This window comes from Homo sapiens, chromosome 2 (genome assembly GCF_000001405.40).
Source record: "Homo sapiens chromosome 2, GRCh38.p14 Primary Assembly".
NCBI lineage: Eukaryota > Metazoa > Chordata > Mammalia > Primates > Hominidae > Homo > Homo sapiens.
The window spans coordinates 18,589,685-18,612,012 of NC_000002.12; the positions used below are offsets into that span (position 1 = coordinate 18,589,685).

General features: G+C 39.4%; 1 long non-coding RNA gene across 11 annotated transcripts in view; it reads left to right on the plus strand.

Moving 5' to 3' along the window:
* Positions 1-22,328, plus strand: part of LOC105373456 (uncharacterized) — a 529,181-nt gene that overhangs the window by 29,509 nt on the left and 477,344 nt on the right. The gene's annotated exons all lie outside the window — the stretch shown is intronic.

Consider the following 22,328-nt stretch of genomic DNA (forward strand, 5'->3'; position numbering starts at 1 on the left):
CTCATAGCCATTGTCTTTGTTTTCAGAAATTGATGTCTAAACATTGTTCAAATGTTCAATATGTAGCAATATCAATATTACCACTTCCTTTTTAAATCTTTTTAAGCATTTCTCTGCCATTCATTATATTAATCCCATTTGTGACTGTCTGTTTCCTGGTACTGCCAAAATGAATGGCAAAGTCATTTGTGGATCCAATCATTTATCCATGTTCATTCTGCCAGACAGACTTTGGAGGGCTTTTCTCAGATCTAGAGACTATTTTTGACAGCTGGGATTTTGTTCCAGACATGGAGTTTAGACTTGAGTTTGAGTTTAGCTTTAATGTCTCATGTTTCTTTCAATGGCAAAACCTGTTGAGGAAGACACTGTCAAAGCCCCTTCCCCATGGCTAGACTCAGTGTAGAATGTTACCTTTGCTGCCCCATCCTTAACCCTTAACCCTGGGCTGCCCCATCCTTAACCCTTTAAACACTAAAGCTAAACTCAAACTCAAGTCTAAACTCCATGTCTAGAACAAAATCTCAGCTGTCAAAAATAGTTTCCAGATCTGAGGAAAGCCCCCCAAAGTCTGGGAGAGTGAACATGGATAAATGATTGGGTCCACAAATGAGTTTGTGATTCATTTTGGCAAGTAACAGGAAACATACAGTTACAAATAGAATTGATATTTGTAAAAAGTAGCCCCTAACTCTGGTTTACAGAATCTAAACATGTTCTCCATTTTAGTTTTCTCCTTTTATCTTCACCCAAGCTTTAGATAGGAGACATGTGCCATGCCAACCTGAGCTGGTGAAATCATCAAGGACTGAGGCAGGTTTCCAGCCTGTTTTCATGGGACAAGTTGATAGCTAAGGTTGAATATCGGAAGTTGTTGATGGTTTTAATTTAAGTTATCCAAGGAGTCTTTTAGTTAGTAAAACATTCAGGCTGTAGGTAAGAGTGCCTGGGTTTAAGTTATTTCATCTCTCCCCTACTCCCCACTGTACACCCAACCCCCAGCATTCTACCCAAAATTTGTACAGGGGTCATTTGTTTTTGCATGGTTATGATGTTATTGTGTAATATTTGTATAAGTTATGTAGACAATCAAAGTTGTAAGTGCTATACGTTTCAGAGTAACTTCAGAGAACCTTACCTTTTCTATTAAAATCACACCCCTAAGTACCAAGAGCATCTTTATTTTCTTAGTATGCTGTGTTTGGGGCCAGAGCAGCTAATGTGAATTTCATCTCATTGTAATTAGGTGTTTTATTTCTACTATTCAGGATTATAAACTCATTATGGCTTCTTAGCACTCCTTCGAGGGAGAGAGCAGAGGCTTCTGTTATAGGTTTCATGGGTAGGACTTCACTTAGGGAAGCCTGACATCCCAAATCTAGGGCTGTGGGCTGGAGTCCCTTCCTCCACAGTCTGGAAGCCTAGGCAAAAGCATGAACTGACCTGAGTCAGAGGTTTATGTGACTCACAGTTCTGCAGACTATACAGGAAGCATAGTGCTGGCATGTGCTTCTGGCGAGGCCTCAGGAAGCTTCCCAATCATGACAGAAGGCAAAGAAGGAGCAAATGTGTAACACGACAAGAGCAGGAGCAAGAGAGAAGGGAGGAGGTCCCAGATTCTTTTGAACAGTCAGATATCCTCGTAACTCATTACCATGGGAAGGCACAAAGCCATCCATTAGGGATTGACCTTCATGACCCAAACACCTCACACTAGGCCTCACCTCCAACATTGGGAGTCATCTTTTAACATAAGATTTGGAAGGGACAAATATCCAAGCCATGTAATGGGTTAAGCATGTTCTTGTCGCAAGACTTTTAAATTTGCTGCTCCATCTGCTGCAGCGGCCCATATATACACGTGCCTTAATTCCTTATTTTTTTAACTCTGCTCTCAAGCAGTCTCCTCAGAGAGGACTTCTCTGACTGTCACTAAAAATGATACCTCATTTCCTTCATCTTTTAACCCTTATGTCCCTTTATTTTCAATCATAACATTTATTTCAACCTGACTTTGTTTCACAAGAGTTTATTTGCTTATTGTCTTTTCTGGTCCCGCTGGAGCGAAAACTGCTTGTGAGAAGCGACCTATACATCTTTTCTACTGCTGCTTTCTTCTTGCCTAGAATAGTTACTAGGAGGTACTTCCATAAATATTTGTTGAATAAATACATGAATCTTTTAAGAAATGCGTTTACTTAACAGTGATAAGCAGGATACAGAATATTATGGTAACAGTAGTGGTGGAATTTTTTTTTTTTTTTGAGACAGAGTCTTGCTCTGTCACTCAGGCTGGAGTGCAATGGCAAGATCTCAGCTCACTGCAACCTCCACTTCCCAGGTTTAAGCGATTCTCCTGCCTCAGCCTCCCAAGTAGCTGGGATTTCAGGCATGTACCACCATGCCTGGCTAATTTTTGTATTTCTGATAGAGATGGGGTTTCACCATGTTGGTCAGGCTGGTCTCTAACTTCTGACCTCAGGTGATCCACCCGCCTTGGCCTTCCAAAGTACTGGGATTACAGGCATGAGCCACCGCACCCGGCCATGGTGGAAATTTTAAAAAGTCATTTCCCTATGCCTTTGAGGAGGACCATGAAGTTAGTGCATGGGAAGAAAACCCAGAAGAGTGCTGTATTTCTTTCCTGTCCTTTAAAGCTTTTTTTCTAGAGATCAGGGGTTCTCAAGCCTGAGAGTGCATCAGTGCATTACTCTGAGAGGTTGTTAAAGTGACTTTGCAACAGGAGAATGGTTAAACTGTGGCACATTCATACCATGGAACACTAATCAGCAATGCAGAGAAACAAACTATTGATACACACAATAATATGAATGACTCCACAGAGAATTATGCTGGGTAAAAAAAGAGCCAGTCCCCAAGAGTTATATACTATATGATTTCATTTGTATAACATTCTTGAAATGACAACAATTATAGAATGGAGAACAGGTCAGTGGTTGCCAGCATGACGAGGTGGGTGAAGTTAAGTGGGTGTAACTAGAAAAGGGCAACATGAAAGATCTCTGTGGTGACGGAAAGTCTGTATTTTTTATTTGGTTGTATCAGTGTCAACACCTGGGCTGTGATATTGTACTATAGTTTTGTAGGATGTCTAAATTGGGCAAAGGGTAATGGGATCATTCTGTATTTTTTTTTTTGCAACTGCCTATGAATCTACAATTATTTCAAAAATTTTAAAAAGTTTAATGAATTTTTTAAAAAACACATACACACAAATTTTTGGGCCTCTCCCCCCGGAATTTCTGATTCAGTAGACTTGGATAGGGCCCAAAACCTAAATGTGTAACATGTTCCCAGATAAAGCTGATACTGCTGGACTGAGCACCACACTTTGATAATCACTAAGCCAGAATAATTAGGAATTCTTCATACTCACAGGTAAGCTCTAGCTGGTCCATCGACTTCATGTGAACAACATCAAATAATCCTCTACCATCTTAAATATTATTTCTTGTAGTAAAGACTATCATTAGTGAAACAGTCTCTAGAATGGGCCTGTCAGACTCCAATGCTCAAGACAAAGCCTCACCTTTTTTCAATAGGGCCCTGTCTGATTGGTTGGACTGTAAGCAGTTCACCAGCAACATCTGTGTCCTTTTCTGACTGCCTCAGCTGGAAAGGAACTGTCCAAGTTGTAGGTTCACATCCTTGGCTGCACATTACAATTACCTGAGAGCTTTTAAAAATCCCAGTGCCTCGGATCTTTCCAGGTCACAATCACAGACAAGTTTAATTAGAATCTCTGAATGTAAGACCCAGGTATCAGTATCATTTGTGTTTGACTGGAGGGCTGAGCCCTAGGCTCTCAGTAGAATTTCTAAGGTACCTACCTTCTTTCCTCCCTCTCCCCACATTGCCTTGGGTCCAGTTTCCCAGATTCCACAAAGGGGAGGCAGCACCTGCTCAAGAAGCTGAACTCCCAAGGTAGAAACCCCAGTCTTACATTCCTTTCTCTCCCTTATCTGAGGTTCTTACAAGTTGCATGTCTTTTTTCTCAGCAGTGTCTCTCAAACACCAGGCACCCTTGCATTCCATTAGCTTTTGCCAAGTCTTCATCTTTTCCAGTGAGCTATGCAAGAGTCTCCTCACCAATCTCCTCAACTGTACTATTGTGTCCTTCTTAAATCCATCGTTATATAGCCACTAAAGAGATCTTTCTAAAACACTAATAGATTCTTTCACTCCCTTATTTAAAACCCTTTCTGGAGAACCCTTTTTTCCCCCAAGAAACAAATTAGTATGATATCCAAGACTCCATGACCGAGTCTTTCTCCCATTCCTTGCCTCCTTTGCAAGCCTCATATATCTAGATTTCCCCAACAAAACACTTTCACTGCCTTAAAAAAATCCTGGTTTATTGAGATATAATCAACACACCATACGAGTCACCCATTTAAAGTGTACAATTCAATGGTTCTTAAAATATTTGTAGTCATGCAACTATAAACACAGATGAATTGTAGCATATTTTCAACATCCCCAAAATAAATTCAGTATCTTCTAGATACAACCCCTATCTTCCCATCCCCTGCCCAGCCCTGAGTAATCATTAATTTACTTTCTTCATAACCCATTTTACAGATCAATGCATCACTACCCAGTAGAGTTCTGAACTTTGGAGCAGGACTGACCTAGGTTTAAATCTTACCTTAGCTAGTCTGTATGTTTGGATCACTTACTCCATCCAGACTTCAGTTTTGTTGCCATCAAAATTGGAAAAGTTACATCTACTTCTCATACAGGCTGTGAGGGTTATTAACAGTATAATAAGGTGCCTGACAATAATAGATAGGTGTTATCATTATATTTTAGTGAATTATGAATATAAAATTTTGAAAAAAATCATTGCTGTGATCCTATAACCAATAACTAGATACTCCATGGCAGCAGTAACTACACTTTCAGATTTTAATAATATGTGGGCTAATGTGATATTTCAAATCAAGACTGTCTTAGAAAATTTAACGTGATTAGCACTGGACTCAGTCTAGGTCACGGGGTGGATAGTTTTGGAAATATCAGGCCTAACATTAGTCAGCATAGGTGCATAATTCCTGAGGCTCACAGAAAGGCTGTGGAGAAGGGGAAAGGGTCACATTTTCTTATCATCTCCACCTGTCACTTAGATCAGCTTGCTGTATTAATTTTGCATGGCCATGTAACAAATTACTACTAACTTACTGGCTTAAAATAATGTGCATTTGTTATCACACAGTTCTGTTAGGTTAAAAGTCTGGGGAAGCTCACCTGGGTTCTTTGCTTAGAATCTGTTAAAGGTAAAATCAAGGTGTCAGCCATGTTGAGCTGTTACCTGGAGGCTCTGGGGAAGAATCTACTTCCAGTCTCATCTGGGTTGTTGGCAGAATTCAGTTTCTTCTAGTTGTAGGACGGAAGTCCAAGTTGCTGGATGTCAACCAGGGAATCACCCTCAGCTCCTAGAGGCCACTCTCAGGCCCTTGCTCTATGGCCCCCTCCATCCCATTAGTGGAGAATCTTCCTTGTGCTGAATCCTATCCGTCAGAAAAAAATTCCTTTTAAAGGGCTCAGATAATTAGGTTATGCCCACTGGGATAATCTCTTTTTTATTAACTCAAAACCAACTAATGAGTAAGCTCAATTATATCTACAAAATCTTTCTTGCCATGTATAACATAATCATGGGAGTGATGCCCCATCATATTCCCAGGGCAGGGAATTATACAAAGGTGAGGGTCTTTGGAGGGATCATCTTAGAATTTTGTCCTCCACACTCATTTAATTGACTTTGCCTAAGTGAATCCTCAAAATAGGGAACTAAATAAATAAAACCCAGGCTTGCAAATTGGTGACCACCATTATCTGTTTCAGTGCATATGGACTATCTGGGGCTAGTATGGGCACTTGATTTGAAGATATATTCTGTTTTTAAAAGTATAGACTAGGAAATGTAACATGTATGGATGTGTTAGAGCCTGTCACTAAGTCCCCTGGATGTGCGTGTGTGGATATTTTTGGAGGAGTTATGTACTTTCTCCTGCACCTTTCTGAGGTCTGTGATTGTTGATGTGGGCATGGAACAGATGTAGGAGCACATGGACACCTCAGAGAAAGTTTACAAACTCAAGATGTCTTCATTGGGATAGTCCTAAAAGTAAGCACAAGGATAAAGTGGTATATCTTTCTTAGTTCTTTTCTGTAGAAATGGAAGTGTATTTCATGGTTGGTCTCTACATATACTAAAGTAACAGTATTGGTTTTGGGGTCAAATAAATTTGAGTTTTAAAACCAACTCTGTTACTGATCACTTGCTTAACATCAGGCTAGTTACTTAACTTCAATAAATCTTTTTATTTTATGTCTATGAAATGGGTGTTATACCTAGTTGGAGGGTTTTTAGGAAGAAATAAATGGGTAGCACATATAATGTGCTTGACCCAAAGTACTGGTTTGTGGTTAGGGTCTATGGTGAGTTGAGTCATGAACAATAATTTGAAGCTGTTCCCATTGGGAGCTGGATTCTATTTCCCATCTTTTGAATTTGGCTCTGTCTTGTGATATGCTTTAACTAATATAATGCAGAGAAAATAACATTATGTGAGTCCTTGAGCCCAGGGCTCCCAAGGCTTGCAGTGCTTTCCAAGGCTATCTTCTTGGAATGCTGCTTCCATGGGGTGGCTTGAAATCTTCATGTTAAGAAAATAAGGACAATAAGAAATAATACTTTTGAGTACATGCTAGACACATTGCATTTTATACTGTTTAGTACTTTTTAATCACCAAGCAGTGTAGAGTGAAACAACTTGCCTGAAGTTGTGAAGTGACAGTTGTTTAATCATACTTTCTCTTCTACAGTGGCCTGGTCTTTTATACCTATCTTAACAATAGGCCAATCTGGAATCCTATGTAATTAATTGGATAGTCAAAAAATTGGATAAGTAAAGTCATTATAGTTTCTAAGTATGAGCTTCATCCAATGAGACTGTATCTCTATGTATTAGCCTATTTTCATGCTGCTGATGAGACAGTCCCAAGACTGGGCAATTTACAAAGAAAAAGAGGCTTAATGGACTCACTGTTCCATGTGGCTGGGGAGGCCTCACAATCATGGCAGAAGGCAAAAGGCACTTCTTACATGGTGGCAGGCAAGAGAGAATGAAAGCCAAGTGAAAGGGGAAGCGCTTTATAAAACTATCACATCTTGTGAGACTTATTCATTACCAGGAGAACAGTATGTGGAAACCACCTCCATGATTCAGTTATCTCCCACCGGGTCCCTCCCACAAGACGTGGGAATTGTGGGAGCTACAGTTCAACATGAAATTTGGATGGGGACACAGCCAAACCCTATCACTCTAAAAGTCTCTACAGGTCTCAGATCATGATAAAGGAGCAGCTTCTCATGAGCTTGGCCCTGCTCATGGTGCATATGCAGAATACTCTTGCCAAATGCTGGTAAGTGAAAATCCCTTGTCCAAAATATCGACTAGAGGTCAGTGTGTATCTACTGGCCTCTTCCCAGATGGCAGTTACATCAACATTCCATTCATGTAGGTCAAAGCTGAAAAATACAAGTTCCGGGAACCTTATCCAGAGAGGTGAGCATGTCTCTCAGAAGTCATCAGCGAATAAAAAAGTTTTCTTTGAAGTTCATAGTTCTTGAATCAGTCCATCTTGACCATCCACATGATTCAAGGGTCACTATGGAGTCAGAGCACCAGAGAACTCTGTCCATGGACACTAGATAGAACGCCTTTGATGGATTGGGAAAAAATTTTTAAAAAGTAAAAAGCACTTGTACTTTAAGAAAAGAATTTTTAAAAATATCCTGGGGAAGGTAGTCTCAAATGTAAAGATGCTCTATAAAATATAAGGTCTTGAAAAATAAAAGTTCCACTTACTTGCATAGATTAGGGCTCTGAAGTTCAATCTTCTCATCTGTAAAATAGGAATTAAATGCCTATGCACATCTTACAATTTTTTTGTGAAACGCGAATGTGGTCATGCAAAGAAAAGCACTTAGGAAGTTCACAGGAAGTTCTTTATAACACATCCCACCAAAAATCTGCATGATGAACGAAGAAATAGGTCACTTGGAAGATGGCCAAAGGACTTGAAAACTGGGCAGGCTAAGTGGAAATTGATGACCACTTCCTCATAAAGGTAAGGGAGCTTGGTGCCAGTGCACAATCGATGTCTTCCTCTTTTTAAGAAAATCATGAGGAATTTTTTCCACGTTTTATTAGGCTTAGCCAAAATGGTGCATGTTCACCTTTTCCCCTCCATCCTGCCTTCAACACTCACTTTAGTAAGTAAAATTAACAAATAACCCCTTTCTCCCATTAGTAATAGCCATGAATTGGAATGTTCGACACTCACCAGCATTAACCAAACCCTAATCAACCAAATGCTGTCTGCCACCCCCTCCTTACAATGCTCACCTTTCTTTCCCCATGCCTGTGATAGCTTTCCTGAAAGACATTTGTGTGCAGAACTCCTGTCTTTGGTTCATTCTCCCTCACATCATTAATCAGTGTGCTATGCCTCATCCAAAAGTGGGAAAATAATCCAGTTTCCTGCTCCACGCCAGCCAGATGAACAGGTGCTAAGTAGGACTTACATAGGCACTTAAGCTGCTGCACCTGGAATCGTGGTGTGTTTAGGCGATCATGTCTTGGATCTCACAGAAGCTGTCTTTGTGTTGACTGGTTCTGTATGATGTCCTAATGCTTCTGCTGTCCAGGGCCAGGCCTTAAGTAGAACAACGCAGGAAAATAACTTCTGGCCTAGGTTCTTCAGGAGTTTATCAGTTTGCTAGGAGAACCTATGATCTGAAAGGGACTGAGGGGATGAGGAGACTTTCTCTATTAGGTAGCTTTTAAGAAAGAAAAATAATCAAACAAATAGGCTCAAGGCATCTGCACGTACACACAGTTAATCACACCTTGCCTGCATTGTTACCAAGGGATTTCTTGTGTGGGGGTGGTCCTTGTAGGAGCTTTCAGGCACCAGGAGCTCCCAAGTGGCATGCTCACCTCCTTGAGACAGGCAACATGTTGCCAAGAAAAGAAACATCTTCATACTCTGCAGATGTGGCTTTTCATATTAGTGCTGCCACTTCCTATGTGTCTCTGAGAGTTGCTTAGCCTCACAGCCCATTTCCTCATTTGTAAAATAGGAATGATAATAATAGTGACTTCATAGAGAGAAAGGAAATGAGGAATGTGAAGGATCAAGCACAATGCCTGGCATAGGACAGGCACTCAGTAACCATCGTCTTCCCAGGTTCCCTGCCTCCCGGTTCACCTGCATAAACATATTTCAGGCACTCTGGGTAGGGTTTTATCTGGACCCTGTGACCACCTAGGGAGGGCCCTGCCCTGAACCCCAGTGCCCCATGGGTGACAGACTGTGTGTCTTGTCTGTTTGTTTTCCTTTGGCCTGTTTTTTATTTTGGGTCTGTGTGATTTCCTGGCAAAAGCCCCATCAGTGGTGAGAAAATATGTGTGTTTGCTATTATATTTGAGGAGTGAGCAGCTTGTTCCTAGAGGTCCCCCAAACCCCGATATTGTTGCAAAATGTAGGTCAGCAATGTCCTCAGTGCAGCACAGCTCAGAGTAGAGTCCCAAGTCTGGACCAGCTTGGATTCTGTATTTTTGGTGATGAAAACGGATAGAATTCACTCTAGTGACATTTTTCAGTTTTTTAACGTTTGGCTTTGGCATCGATGACCTTTGTTTTCTTTTCCACTTAGTTCCTTTGGCTTCCCACTTCTTCCTGTCCAGTAAAATTTTAAAAAGCTTGCTTTTACTCCTATGTTTCTGTTTCTGTGGCCAGGACCACCATCCTCCCAATCACTAGTTCAGGAAAGATCCCAAATTAATCACAGATTGCTGCATTTTCCTCCCTGTCACATCCTGTTTCTCTCTAGCATCTTTTGGCTTGACTTCCTTAATACCAGTAAAAATCAGACACACAGCTGCATTGCATGTCTAGCGTCTTACCATGGGCCCTTCCTTGGCACCCTGTGCATTCTCTGTCCTAAGCCCCAGGCCTGCCAAGTTATAATTACTTGTTCTTATGTTTTTCTTTTCCACTAATCTGTGAACGCCTTTCAAGGACAGAGCCTATGCATTATTCATCTCTGCATCCCCAGTGTTTAATACAGTGTTTCAACAAAATGTTTCCTGAATGAATAAAAGAATGAGTAAAAAATCATGTGTTCCCAATTAGAAAGACTTTCTGTGTCATAGGGTAGACAAGGGTTTGAGGAGGCACTTTCTAGGACCATAAAATGAGACTCCCAATCCTATCTATCTCCATCAACCCTGGGCTCTAATGAGACTATGCCTATTTGAATTTTTCCAACTTTCAGCCAAAACACATTCAGTAATTGATTAGTCCCCTTTAGAGCTTGGCAGAGGATATTCTAAGTAAATATAGGTATGAGTGCTGCCCTGATGACCCAGGAATACCTACAACTTGACATGTCCAAAACTGGACTTATTATCTACCTCCAAAATTTTTTCTTTGTCCTCTGTTTCTTATTCCAGTGAGCTCTGTTACCTGAGCAGGACTGGAGAGGCATGCAAAGCCTCTCCTGGCTCCACCATGAAACTGTTCATTTGGTCACTGAGTTTTGCTGATTTATCTTCTGTAATGTTTCTTGTATCTGCACCCTCATCCTGCTCACTGTCTAGTTCCTGCCCTTCTCGCTTCTGATACAAACTTCAACACCAGGTGCACTGACTTCCCCAAACGGAGGTAATCACTTCTTATTTCAGGCCACAACTGTGCTGAGAGTAAAAATCTCTACTGATAAGATGTTTCATGTGTTTGTTTAAATATCTTTCTCTCTACTAGACCATTAACTGACAACAGGAATTATGTTCATTTAATAAATAAATAATACAGGGTTGAATTTTAGGATAATTTGAAATTAAATTATAAAAAGGAATTCTTAGATTTGTTTAACTCAGATTTGCCAATTGTTTATATTTTATTCCACTCAATTTCTCTGTCTCTTTTTTTCTTTCTTCCTCTTACATAGATGTTTTTTCTAGTTTGTGAACAAATTGTAGTCAATGTGCCCTTTTATTCATAAATAGTTCAGTGTGCATTTATTAAACAAGGATGCTCTCTTACATAACCATAGTGTAGCTATCACAAACTTGAAAATTAACATTGATGTAATATTATTCTCAAATCTATGGTCTATATTCACATTTGGTAACTGCTTCAATATAAGGTTCTTTAAAGTTATTATTTTCCCTGTTTAGGATCAAATCCAGAATCACACGTTGCATTTAGTTTTCATCTCTTTAGTCTTCTATCACTGGTATATTTCTTCAGCCTTGATTTTTTTTTTCTTTTTTTGAGACAGAGTCTCGCTCTGTAGCCCATGCTGGAGTGCAGTGGCACAATCATGGCTCACTGCAGCCTTGACCTTTCAGGCACAGGTGATCCTCCCACCTCAGCCTCCCGAGTAGCTGAGACTACAGGCATGTGCCACCACGTCCAGCTAATTTTTGTATTTTTTGTAAAGATGAGGATTTTCACCATGTTTTCTCGAACTCCTGAGCTTAGCCGATCAGCCCACCTCGGCCTCCCAAAGTGCTGAAATTATAGGTATGAGCCACCGTGTCCAGCCGACCTTGACTTTTTGGAAATTATAAGCAAAATATTATGTAGTATGTCCCTCCTTTGGGGTTTTCTGACAATTCCTTATTATTGGATTCAGGTTATGGATTTGGGGCAGGAATGCCACTGAAGTGATGTTGTGTCGTTCCGGATGGTAATGTCAAGTTGTCCTAATATTATTTGGTGACTTGGTTGAATTTGTGCCCTCCAAGTTTCTCAGTTACTAATTGTCCCTGTGTAAGTAATATGCAATTGTGATGAAATGTGTAAATCCTGACCAAACTTTCATCAGTAGTTTTAGCTTCCATTGATGATTTCCTAGCTCCATTATTCCTTTTATGTTAATTAGATGGTATTCTATTTCAGTAAAGTACTTCCTATTCTCTCACATTTACTCATTTCTGTAAGTATGGACTCATAGGTTCTTATTTATTCAGTAGGTATAGTTTGTGATTTATGCAGATGCTCAAATTGTCCCAGATTTGGCCATTGGAGACCCTGTCAAGTGGGTTCCCTTGCTTTTGAAATGTCCCCATGTTTCTTTCAGCACTTTTTTACTTTCTAGAATAACAAAATTTTCCAAACTTGTCTTGTACTTTTTCTCTCACATCCTCGAATTAGCCATTTCTTCACAGCTCTAGTTTTTTTGGTGAACAATAGTATTTAGAAGTCGATATGTAGGTGTTAAGTGTTCTTTTTGCTTCTAGGCCCTGTCAGTGGATGGAACTCTGGTTTACACACACACATACACACACACACACACACACACACACACACACACTTATTCCCATACCTCTTTATCTACCTGCCTGTCTATGACATTAAATACTATGGGTTTATATTGGTACCTTCAATTCCAACCCAACTTTTCTGTGTTTGCATTTACTTTGAATATACTGTGAAGATCTTGTGGCTATCTGAAATATTTGTGTTCAAGAACATTTTTATGGTAATGAAAAGCCTACAAGTTCTATATATTTTCATTAAAAGAACTTTTTAATGTAGTTCTTGTATATACATAGGTGTCTGAAATAATTATTCAATTAAAATCCCGCTCATATATTTCTATGAAGGAAGTCAATGTTTTATTAAATTTTTATCTTGCTTTAAAAGATAGCCTCAAGAGGGAGATCTGGGTATTGCCGCAGCTCTTTCATTAATGCAGACAAGAGAGTTTTGAAATAGCTGCCAAGCTATTGGCAGCTGTTAACAGGTTTGGATGCTCCTCCAATAACATCATGTGTGTTCCTCTATTTTCAAACATATTCCACCACATTTCAGTTGTCATTTTATATGTCTGGCTCTCCTGTGACATCATGAAACCCTTAATTGTACTTTTTACTTTGATACTTTATCACAGGCCTCAATAAATGTTTTTGAAGGAATGAAGGATGGGTGACTAACTGATGAAATGAATGACCTTCTCTGTCTCTAGCATCTGTTTAACTCACTCATTTTAAAGCCTGATCTCAGGCTGGGAAGCTGTGAGATAGGAACGAAGGGGAATATACATGCATTTCTGCAATAGGATCTGTGTGGCAACAGATAGATTATAAGCTATGACATATATTGAGAACCTGCTAGGTGCTAGATGGCTACATTATGTATTTATCTTATTTAAGCCTTACAACAACTCAGTGATGAAGGAAATAGTAATCTCATTTTCAGATGCACATTTCAGAAAAGCTAAATAACTTTCTGAGAAAATTATGGAACTAGAATCCAAACTCTGGCTAGTTTAACTTTAAAACTTAAATTTCATTTTGCTATGTGATGGTGCACATCAGAAATAAGATGATGTCAGAGCTGTGAGGTAACACAGCCAAAAAGTTAGCTAATAGGTGACATTCTCTAGAGGGACATCACCAAAATGAGTGAACTTATCAAGTAAATGCAATGGTGAATATAAATGTAGTTTATTGTATTGGGGAGGAAGTGTGACATTTCTGGGGGGACAACAGACTTTATATGGGCTAATTGAATAGATAATATTTCAGATACTATCAAGAAAAATGAACTTGGCTGGGCATGGTGACTCATGCCTGTAATCTCAGGACTTTGGGAGGCCGAGGCAGGCAGATCACCTGAGGTCAGGAGTTCAAGACCAGCCTGGCCAATGTGGTGAAACCCCATCTCTACTAAAAATACAAAAAAATTAGCCAGGCGTGGTGGCCGGCACCTGTAATCCCAGCTACTTGGGAGGCTGAGGCAGGAGAATTGCTTGAACCCGGGAGGCGGAGGTTGCAGTGAGCTGAGATCGTGCCATTGCACTCCACCTGGGTGACAGAGTGAGACTCTGTCTCAAAAAGAAAAAAAAGATGAACTTTTGTAAAATGAGATGAGGAAACCGAGGCCTAGAAAGAAAAAGTTATCTAAAGTCACGCAGCAAGTTGATGTTGGAACTAGGACTTGAAACCAGGTCTTTGTGTTCTGTCTCTTATTACTCTACCTCACTGCTTTCTTTTATGTTATTTCATTTTTTCATAGTCTGCCTACCTTTTTCATTTGCTTTAATTCAATAGCAAAATGCTCATTGAGAACTTTGTATCAATCATTGTGCCAGGCACTGGAGAAACAAAGGCAGGAGCACAAAATTTGAGGTTAGCAAAGCACTTGTCTCTTGGTAAACAATAGACGGACTCCTCACAGAGTGCAGACAGAGGTCAGGATATGCCAGCCCATGAATATGGCCCTGTGTGTTTTGTGGGCCTTGTTACTGTGCATATGTACTGAGGCTCAGTGTCACATTCTGCATTGCCCCCTGATAAACAACACACAGAAAATGGATGAGAATGACTATGAAGAGGGAGAAAATGTCCAGATGTTAGTAGCTCATAATGTTTTAATTTAGAGTAGTGCTTTTGCCCAACACCATCACCAAAGGTTTGTCTTTGGTTTATTTGTGTTATCACAACAGTGACGACGGAGTTAAATGCAGCCTTTGAAAGGAGGATTTTTGCTTGTTTCATTTACATTCTACTGTTCTTTCATGAAACATTTCTAAATATCCATGGGGCCCAATTCTTACAAAAATAAATCAGATAAACCTAGGGTTCTTGCCAAGTCAAATATCTACAGTTTCTGGCAATTATGTAATTTCCAACTCTGCTGCAGTGACTATTGCTGATAAGTCAATTGTCATAAAGAGAAATATTCCAGACCAATCTTTATTAGTGTGTCCTTCACTGATATATGCAATGTCTTTTTTTAAAAAAGCAGAGTTATAACTTTTTTGGGGGGTCTCTAGTGAATGGCTTCTCATCATAACAATTTATATCTGGATAATGTTATTGTAAAACATGAAAATGGTAAATTAAAACCAATGAAATTAGGTTCTGCTGTTATTAATAAAAATGGCTCTGGTTTTCACCATTTTGTTTTGATGGCACTGTCATATAATGCAGCTGTGCAGTAGTGTCTTTCTGGCATTGCAGTTTGATTTGGCCCAGACAAAAGCAATATTTAGGAAGTTACTCTGTAGAGCTTCTCCGGGAAGAAGGAACTTGAGAATCACAAGCTAATTTAAATCGTTCTTTAAAGTTGAGGTTAAATGTATTATTGATTAGAAAGAGCTTTTATGGGGAGAGGAACTCTGCTATTCCTTACGAGTGGTATAAAATAAACAAACTGAATATACCAGGTCCTATTTTTTTTTCAGAGTCACATATCTGTTTGGTGCAAATATATATCACTAAAGATGTTTATATGAAAAAACATTACTTTTAAATCATAATTTCTTGCCCATGCTTTGAGAAAGATCCCTTGAGACTGACTTTCTGTAGCTGGAGCTCACAGTGGTAAATGCTTGCTTTTATTGGGGTCAACATGGTTTGTGCAATATTTCACTCACATTATCTCATTTATATCCTCCTACAATAGCCCTAAGAGGTAGGTAGGGTTTAATTTTATAGATGAGGAAGCTGTCATTCACACTACCCTTGCCCAAGGTTCCTTTGAGTAATTCTAGTAAGTAGCAGCCCTGGGACTCAACTGCAGTTTCTGACTCTGGACCACATCCTTCCCCAGTACTGTGCTTAAGAGGCAGGTAGTCCTTTTAAGATGCAAAACCATATGCATCTTAAAATGACTACCTGCCCCTTAAGCACAGTTCTTTGATTTCTCTGAAGAGAAAGTAGCTTGACAGCACCATCTTAGTTTAGTTGCTTCCCTCTTAGAGCACAGAGTGATCACCAAGATAAACATTCTTTTCCACCTCGCACTCACATGAAGGAAGGAGAATACAGGGAGGTGGACATCTATGTCAGTGGAAAGCCCAGACTTTTAGCCTCTTGCAGAACAGACTTGATCTACAAATTGTCATTACAAGAATCCTGCTGTTGGAAACACAGCTTTTCAATTTCTTGAAGATCTTCCAAGCATTGTTCTTTATGGAAAAAATGCCCTTTTTTGCCAGTATCAGTGAAAAACACAAGCAAAAAGAATGAAGCTTATTCTTAGTGGCTAAGAGTTATTTATTTCAGATCTCTGCTTCTTAGGGTATACTATAGAGTTAGTTAAATGGAAACTTCCAGCTACAGTATGTTTGGAGACAATCAGTCTAGATAGATAAGAAAATTTCAACAGAGAGGCCGGACTGGGTGAAGAGGACTGGAAACAAGCTTTCCGCAGGCTCTTAAGGCAAGTGATAGAGGTATGGTATTACAAAAGATGGGGCTAAAAGAAAATATGAGAAACACACAAAAGGGTATCATCGGCTTTGCAAAGAAATGCAACATATACATATATTTGTGTTTACGTATGTATGTGTGTATATACACAAATAGTTTTTGAAAGTAAAGGCTATTTAAATTGCAAAAATTAGAATGCAGAGAGAATGATTCCTATTTTTGTTTTGCATTTAATTGGCATTGATTTCAGACTGTTGGACAATGGTGCTCATCCTCACTTTGTGCAAGCAGGACAGTTGCAGGGTGAACTTGATGTATAATTAATCAGTTTGACTCTTAAGCTCTTTTTGTGACTGAACAGCAGGAGCCAAGCATGCTCCTATTTACTTGTCAGTTTTTCTGCTAGACTATGAAACCACCTTGCTGGAGTTTTATAGTGAGATATGTCTCACTGATCTCTGTCCTTGGTTCCTAGTGTGGTGCTTGACACATAGTACAACTCAGAAGAGGTTTGTTGAAATATCTTCAGACTTTAAGAGGGGACATTTCTACTGGGACAGTTTTGGTCAACCTTGGCCCCCATCTTATTCTACCTAATAGCAGCATTTGACACAGATGTTCACTTCTTCTTTGAGTCACTTTTCTTTGCTTGGCTTGCTGGCCACTTGCTCTTGGTTCCCCCCTAAATCACTGGCTGTTCTTGTTGCATCTTCTATCCATAACCCTCTACCTCATCTGTGGCTTTGAAAGATGCAATAATCTGTCCACCAACTTCTCTCTTTCTATAGTCATTCCTTGTGTGCATATATGGCACTGGCTCTAAATGTCATCGATACTTCTTCAGACCCGAACTCGCTCTTTAACTCCAGACTCAGAAACCCAACTTCCTATACAATATTTACACATGAATGTTGAATTGGCATCCCCAATTGAACAAACTGAAAATAGACTTTTTTTGATATCTAGCACCATCTCTACCTCCAAATCAGCATCTTCTCCAATATTCCTTATTTCAGTAAGTGACACTTCTATTCACCCAGTCTGTCAAGTCAAAAACCTTGAAGTCAGCCTCCCCACCTGATTTCTTTCACATAAATTCATCCACTAGTTATGTCAACTCTACTTTTGGAATATATCCAGAATCCCACCAATACTGTCTTTTCTCTATTGCTATTTTCTTACTTTAGTCCACCATTATCTCTTAGTTAAGCTTAATGTAATAACTACCCTATATGCTCTCACTAATTCTTAATTCAGCTTGCTCTCCATCACTTATTCTCTTCCTCGTGTAGCAACCAGAGTGATCCTTGTAAAATATAAATGATGCTATGTCATTTCTCATCCCTCAGCCCTTCAATGAATGATCCTCATACTTGGAGTGAAAATGGGCTTGCCACCTTCTGCATAATCTGGCTACCTCCTGGATGCCACTCACCTCCTATTTTCCTTATTTCTCACTGCAAAGAATGTCTCTATCTAAAGATCTTGTTTCTGCTGGTTTCCTTTTGCTGGAAAGTCATATTCCTAGAGTCTCTTCAACTCTTTTCCATTTTATTCACTGTGCAGCCATACAGCTGGGTCTGCTCTCAGAGTGGGAGAGGATTTCTGGGCTCCCACATATTTCATTAGGATTGCTTTGGAAATGAGGGCGCTTAGATTCCCTGCTGCTCTTGTTTTATTTGGGACTGTGCAACAAGGATAGGGACAGGAAGAGGCCTGCAAAGGCAATTAACATGGAGCATATACAGCTAATTTTACAAGCCTGGCATCTCTTTAAGTGTCCTCCCTGGGAGTGTTTCCCTCTGAATTAGAAAGCTCTAGTCTTAGCTTGATGAACTGGTTTCTGGTAAATTCAGTTGTTCTAGCCCCTGCTGGAACTAGAGTGATGGATATTCAGAGCAGAGAATGTGGCTTTTAAAAATGACATCACGAATAGGGTTGCTAGATTGAGTAAATAAAAATACATGATAGCCAGTTAAATTTGGTACTTCAGATAAAAAATGGATAATTTCTTAGTACAAATATGTTCCAAATATTACATAGATCTTCTAAAAAATTGCAAAGGACACATTTATAATTTTAAAAATATTGATTATCTGAAATTCAAATGTGATTGGACATACTTTATTTTATCTGGCAACCCTAATCATGAATAATTAAAAGTTGATATTGCTGTGTTGTTCAAAGGCAATAATTTGATTACTAATTACGTTCACTGAAATCAATAGATATATTAGTTATTTGTCCTCTTTTTTAGGAGAATTGCATCAATAGAATAAAAATATGTATTTTATCTTTTATATTGTGGAAAAATGAGAATATTCATATAGACATAGATATTTGTTATCTATATGGTAATTTGCTATACATGTTTAGAACATTTGTTTTTATTTAATGCATGATTGAAGACTGATGCCTAAATATGAAATTCTTTATTTTATTAAACTAATATACATAATAAACATAGTAGATTGGGTAAGCTGGGGAATTTGATAAATAAAACTATTTCCTGATTATATAAATGATATATGTTTTTTATAGAACATTTAGAAAATACATAATAATATTTTAAAAATAAGCCTATAATGTTTTTTATCTGTTTTTTTTGTGGAAAAACTTTTAAAAATAGGTTGGGATTATGTCATAATGTAATTTTATTGCCTTTAGAAATTTATCATGACAACATGTATCCATTTTATTTCATTAAAAGCATTTATGAAACATTTTAATAAAGATATAATATTCTTTTTCCTTTTTGTTTTGTTTTGTATTTTCCTGTTCTAATGTTAAAATGAGGATATTGGTACATAATTGTTTGAATCACTGGGTATTTTCTTTGGATTTATTTCTGGAAGCGCAGTTACCTGATCGAAAGATCAAAGTATCTTTAAGACATGAGCTGCTTGTTGCCAGTCTTGTGGAAGCCTATGTACTCTATGCTTTATGTTTCCGTCTTCTGGCCACAGGGACCCCCCGCTAGTCTTTTTTGCCCTCCCTGCCTCTACTCACTTCTTCCCCTTGGGATAGATCTGACTTATCTGATGGATAAGATTGAAAGCAGGAAGTATGAGTTAATTCCTTCTAAATTCTGTTTCTTTCAGATCTAACTATCCATCAGAAGGCACTTTTGCCATGTGGTTAGCTTACCAGGGTAGACTCTGCCTGGCTGGGCATGCCTGCAGTTGTTCATTCTGCTAATGAGTATGTTGAAAATTGAAGACAATATTAAGGAGCTCATTGTGACTTCATTTAATTTATACCCTCCTATCTAGTGATTTTAAGTAATACATCTGATATCTGGTCTTTACCTTTCTGACATTCATGTTTAATTCTTAACTAGTTCCAAACTCAAATTATCTCAAGGTAAAACCGGCAATACAAGCTCACTGTCCAAGAATAGTTAGAAGGACTGGCATTTAGAAGACTAGCTAGAAGGACTGGCATTTAGAGACCAAATACCATGAGGAGAGTGAAATTTTGGGTACTGCCAGCATTGCCTTAAGGCATTACAGCTTTTGTTGTGTAGATCTTGCAGTCTTTGACCTTTCATCTTGGCAGTTTGGATGGTGTGTAATGAGGTTGTGCAGCTGGGATTGTTAATTAGCATGGGTCATACAAGTTTTGGTAAATATGAATTGTGTGGTCCTCTACGTCTTACTTTGATCTTATTTACAAAGGTATGGTTTGGGTGAGATGAAATTCCAGCTTGCTAGGAAAAGAGTCTCTCAGTTCCTGCTAAAGGTCATTTTAAAATCACTGTATAGGCTTTTAAAGTATTTTCTGATAAAAGCCTTTTTCCTCCTCTCTACAGGCGAATTTTTTAGTATGGACAGCAGGCCAAGAGTGAACACTTCAAAGATAGCTTTGGTCTGGGAGAAGTAGACAGCACCAGAAGACGAGTTTCATCAGCTCAATCCTGCAGAAGTCTAGAGACAAAACACATTTTGCATGAATTTTTCACTTCCCAGCTCTTTGCTTCGTCTTCTTAGTAGACACCATTTTTAGCACTCCTAACTCTGGTGCTCCATCTTAGATTTGTAGACAATTCTAATGTCTGAACTGTGAGAAAGAAATTTATGTGTTTCAACTTCATTCCCAGGGCACATTGAGTTTTTGGAGGATTCTGAAGCTTAAAGGAAACAACAGAAAGTTATGATTATAAAATTAAGCATGAAAGTGAATATTAAGAATGAGAAACAAAATCACAACAGATTTTCAGGACCTTGGAGATCCAGATCTCTTTTTCTGAAGCCTCCTTGCCAATTTACCAGAAGTGCTTAACTTGAAATACTTCCTGACTGCTGTAGGAAATATTCCAGATTTCAAGCTCTTGCTTCTCCTTCCCTCTCAGAACACTCTGTGTCTCCAGAGCTCATGATGTCAGGCCCCGATGCTTACACTTAATTAATCTCCATCAGTCTACCTCTGCCTTCTTTGGAGCCTGTCCTTCCAGGCCCCATTAGTTATCTGAGAGAACACCCCCCTCTTCTGAAGGGATGGTAACACTCTTTAGGGAGGTGACTGTCCCCACTCAGAAAATTCTGAGATTCCTCATCAAAAGCTTGGTCTAACACAAAACAAAGGTGCTCCATTCTCCAGAACTTATTCTGTTTTTTTGGGCTGAGTTGTATCCTCTCAAAATTCATATGTGGAAACTCTAACCCTCAGTACCCCAGAGCAAGACTGTGTTTGGAGATAGGGCCTTTAAAAAGGTAATTAATGTTAATTATGGTAATTAGGGGTGGTCCCTATTCTAATATGACTTTGGTCTTTGGAAGAGATTAGGACACAGTCAGACACAGAGGGAAGACCATGTGGAGATATAGCAAGAAGAGGGTTATCTGCAAGCTAAAGGGAGAGGTCTCAGAGGAAACCAACCCTACTGATATCTTGATCTCTAGCTTCCAGCCTCTAGAATTGTGAGAGAATAAATTTCTGTGGTTTAAGACACCCAGTCTGTGACAATTTGTTATGGCAGCCCTAGCACATCAATATACTTGGATAGAGGCAGAAGGAGGGGTCATTGCCTTATGATACGATTGCATCCTAAATTGAGCAGCTTCTAAGATTACAAGAATAAGGGAAGCAAGGGTTTATTCTGAGTGTCAGGAACCCATGGCCCCTGTGTCTCGAGGAGCTGTTTTGAAGTGCTCGGTCAATTCCATGTGAGCAGCTCCCAGTGGCAGCTCCTTGTCCTCAGTCTTGCACTTCGCTGACTTGCATTCCAGTCGGCTGCAAACTCATTATAACCATACCTTCTGCTGACTTTTCAGATCTCAGCCCTGGTAGGGGTAACCACTCACTACAGGCGGTGACTGTTTTCTAACTGTGCCGCCTACTGATCCCTTCTCCGTAAATTCATGCTTAATCACCTGCTACTCAGTGAAATGCTGAATTGTTCAAATAAACATTGCTGGGAAAGCTAAGATCAACAATTTAGGCCTGTGTGTTAGCAGCCACCTCCAAAAGAGAGCAGGGAGGCCCAGGCTTCTGGTCTTAGCTCTGCTGTCGCCATCTCTGGTTAGTCACTGCTTCCCCACACCCTTCACCCCCATTCTCCAGTGGGTTTGGCACTTCATCTTTGAGATTCCCATAAATTAATTCCGGGCTTCATCCTAACCTGCTACTTACCACACTGTATTGTGAATGTTTATTCAAAAGTTTCCTTCACTAGACTGCCAGTTTCTTTAACTTATGGGCTGTTCCAATTCATCTCTACATCAGTGGGGGCAATCACAGTGCCTGTCACAGAGCAGGTGCCAAAAATTGAGCCTCAAGATAGCTCTTCATTTGAAAAAAAAAAAGTGATGTTTACATAGCATTGACCAAGAGCATATTGTCACAGGCTTTGCCCTGTGTTTTTCCTTTAGGTCATTTCTATTCAACAAACTTGTGTTGAGTACATACCAGGTGCCAGGTGCTGTGTCAAGTTTCAGGGATAAGTTGATGAAACTGACTCAATCACTGATTGCCCCCAGGAACTTACGGTCTACCAGGAAGAGAAGACAAGTGCCCACATAACTGTGACACAGTGGGTGCTGTGTCCATCATAAGAGGAGTAGG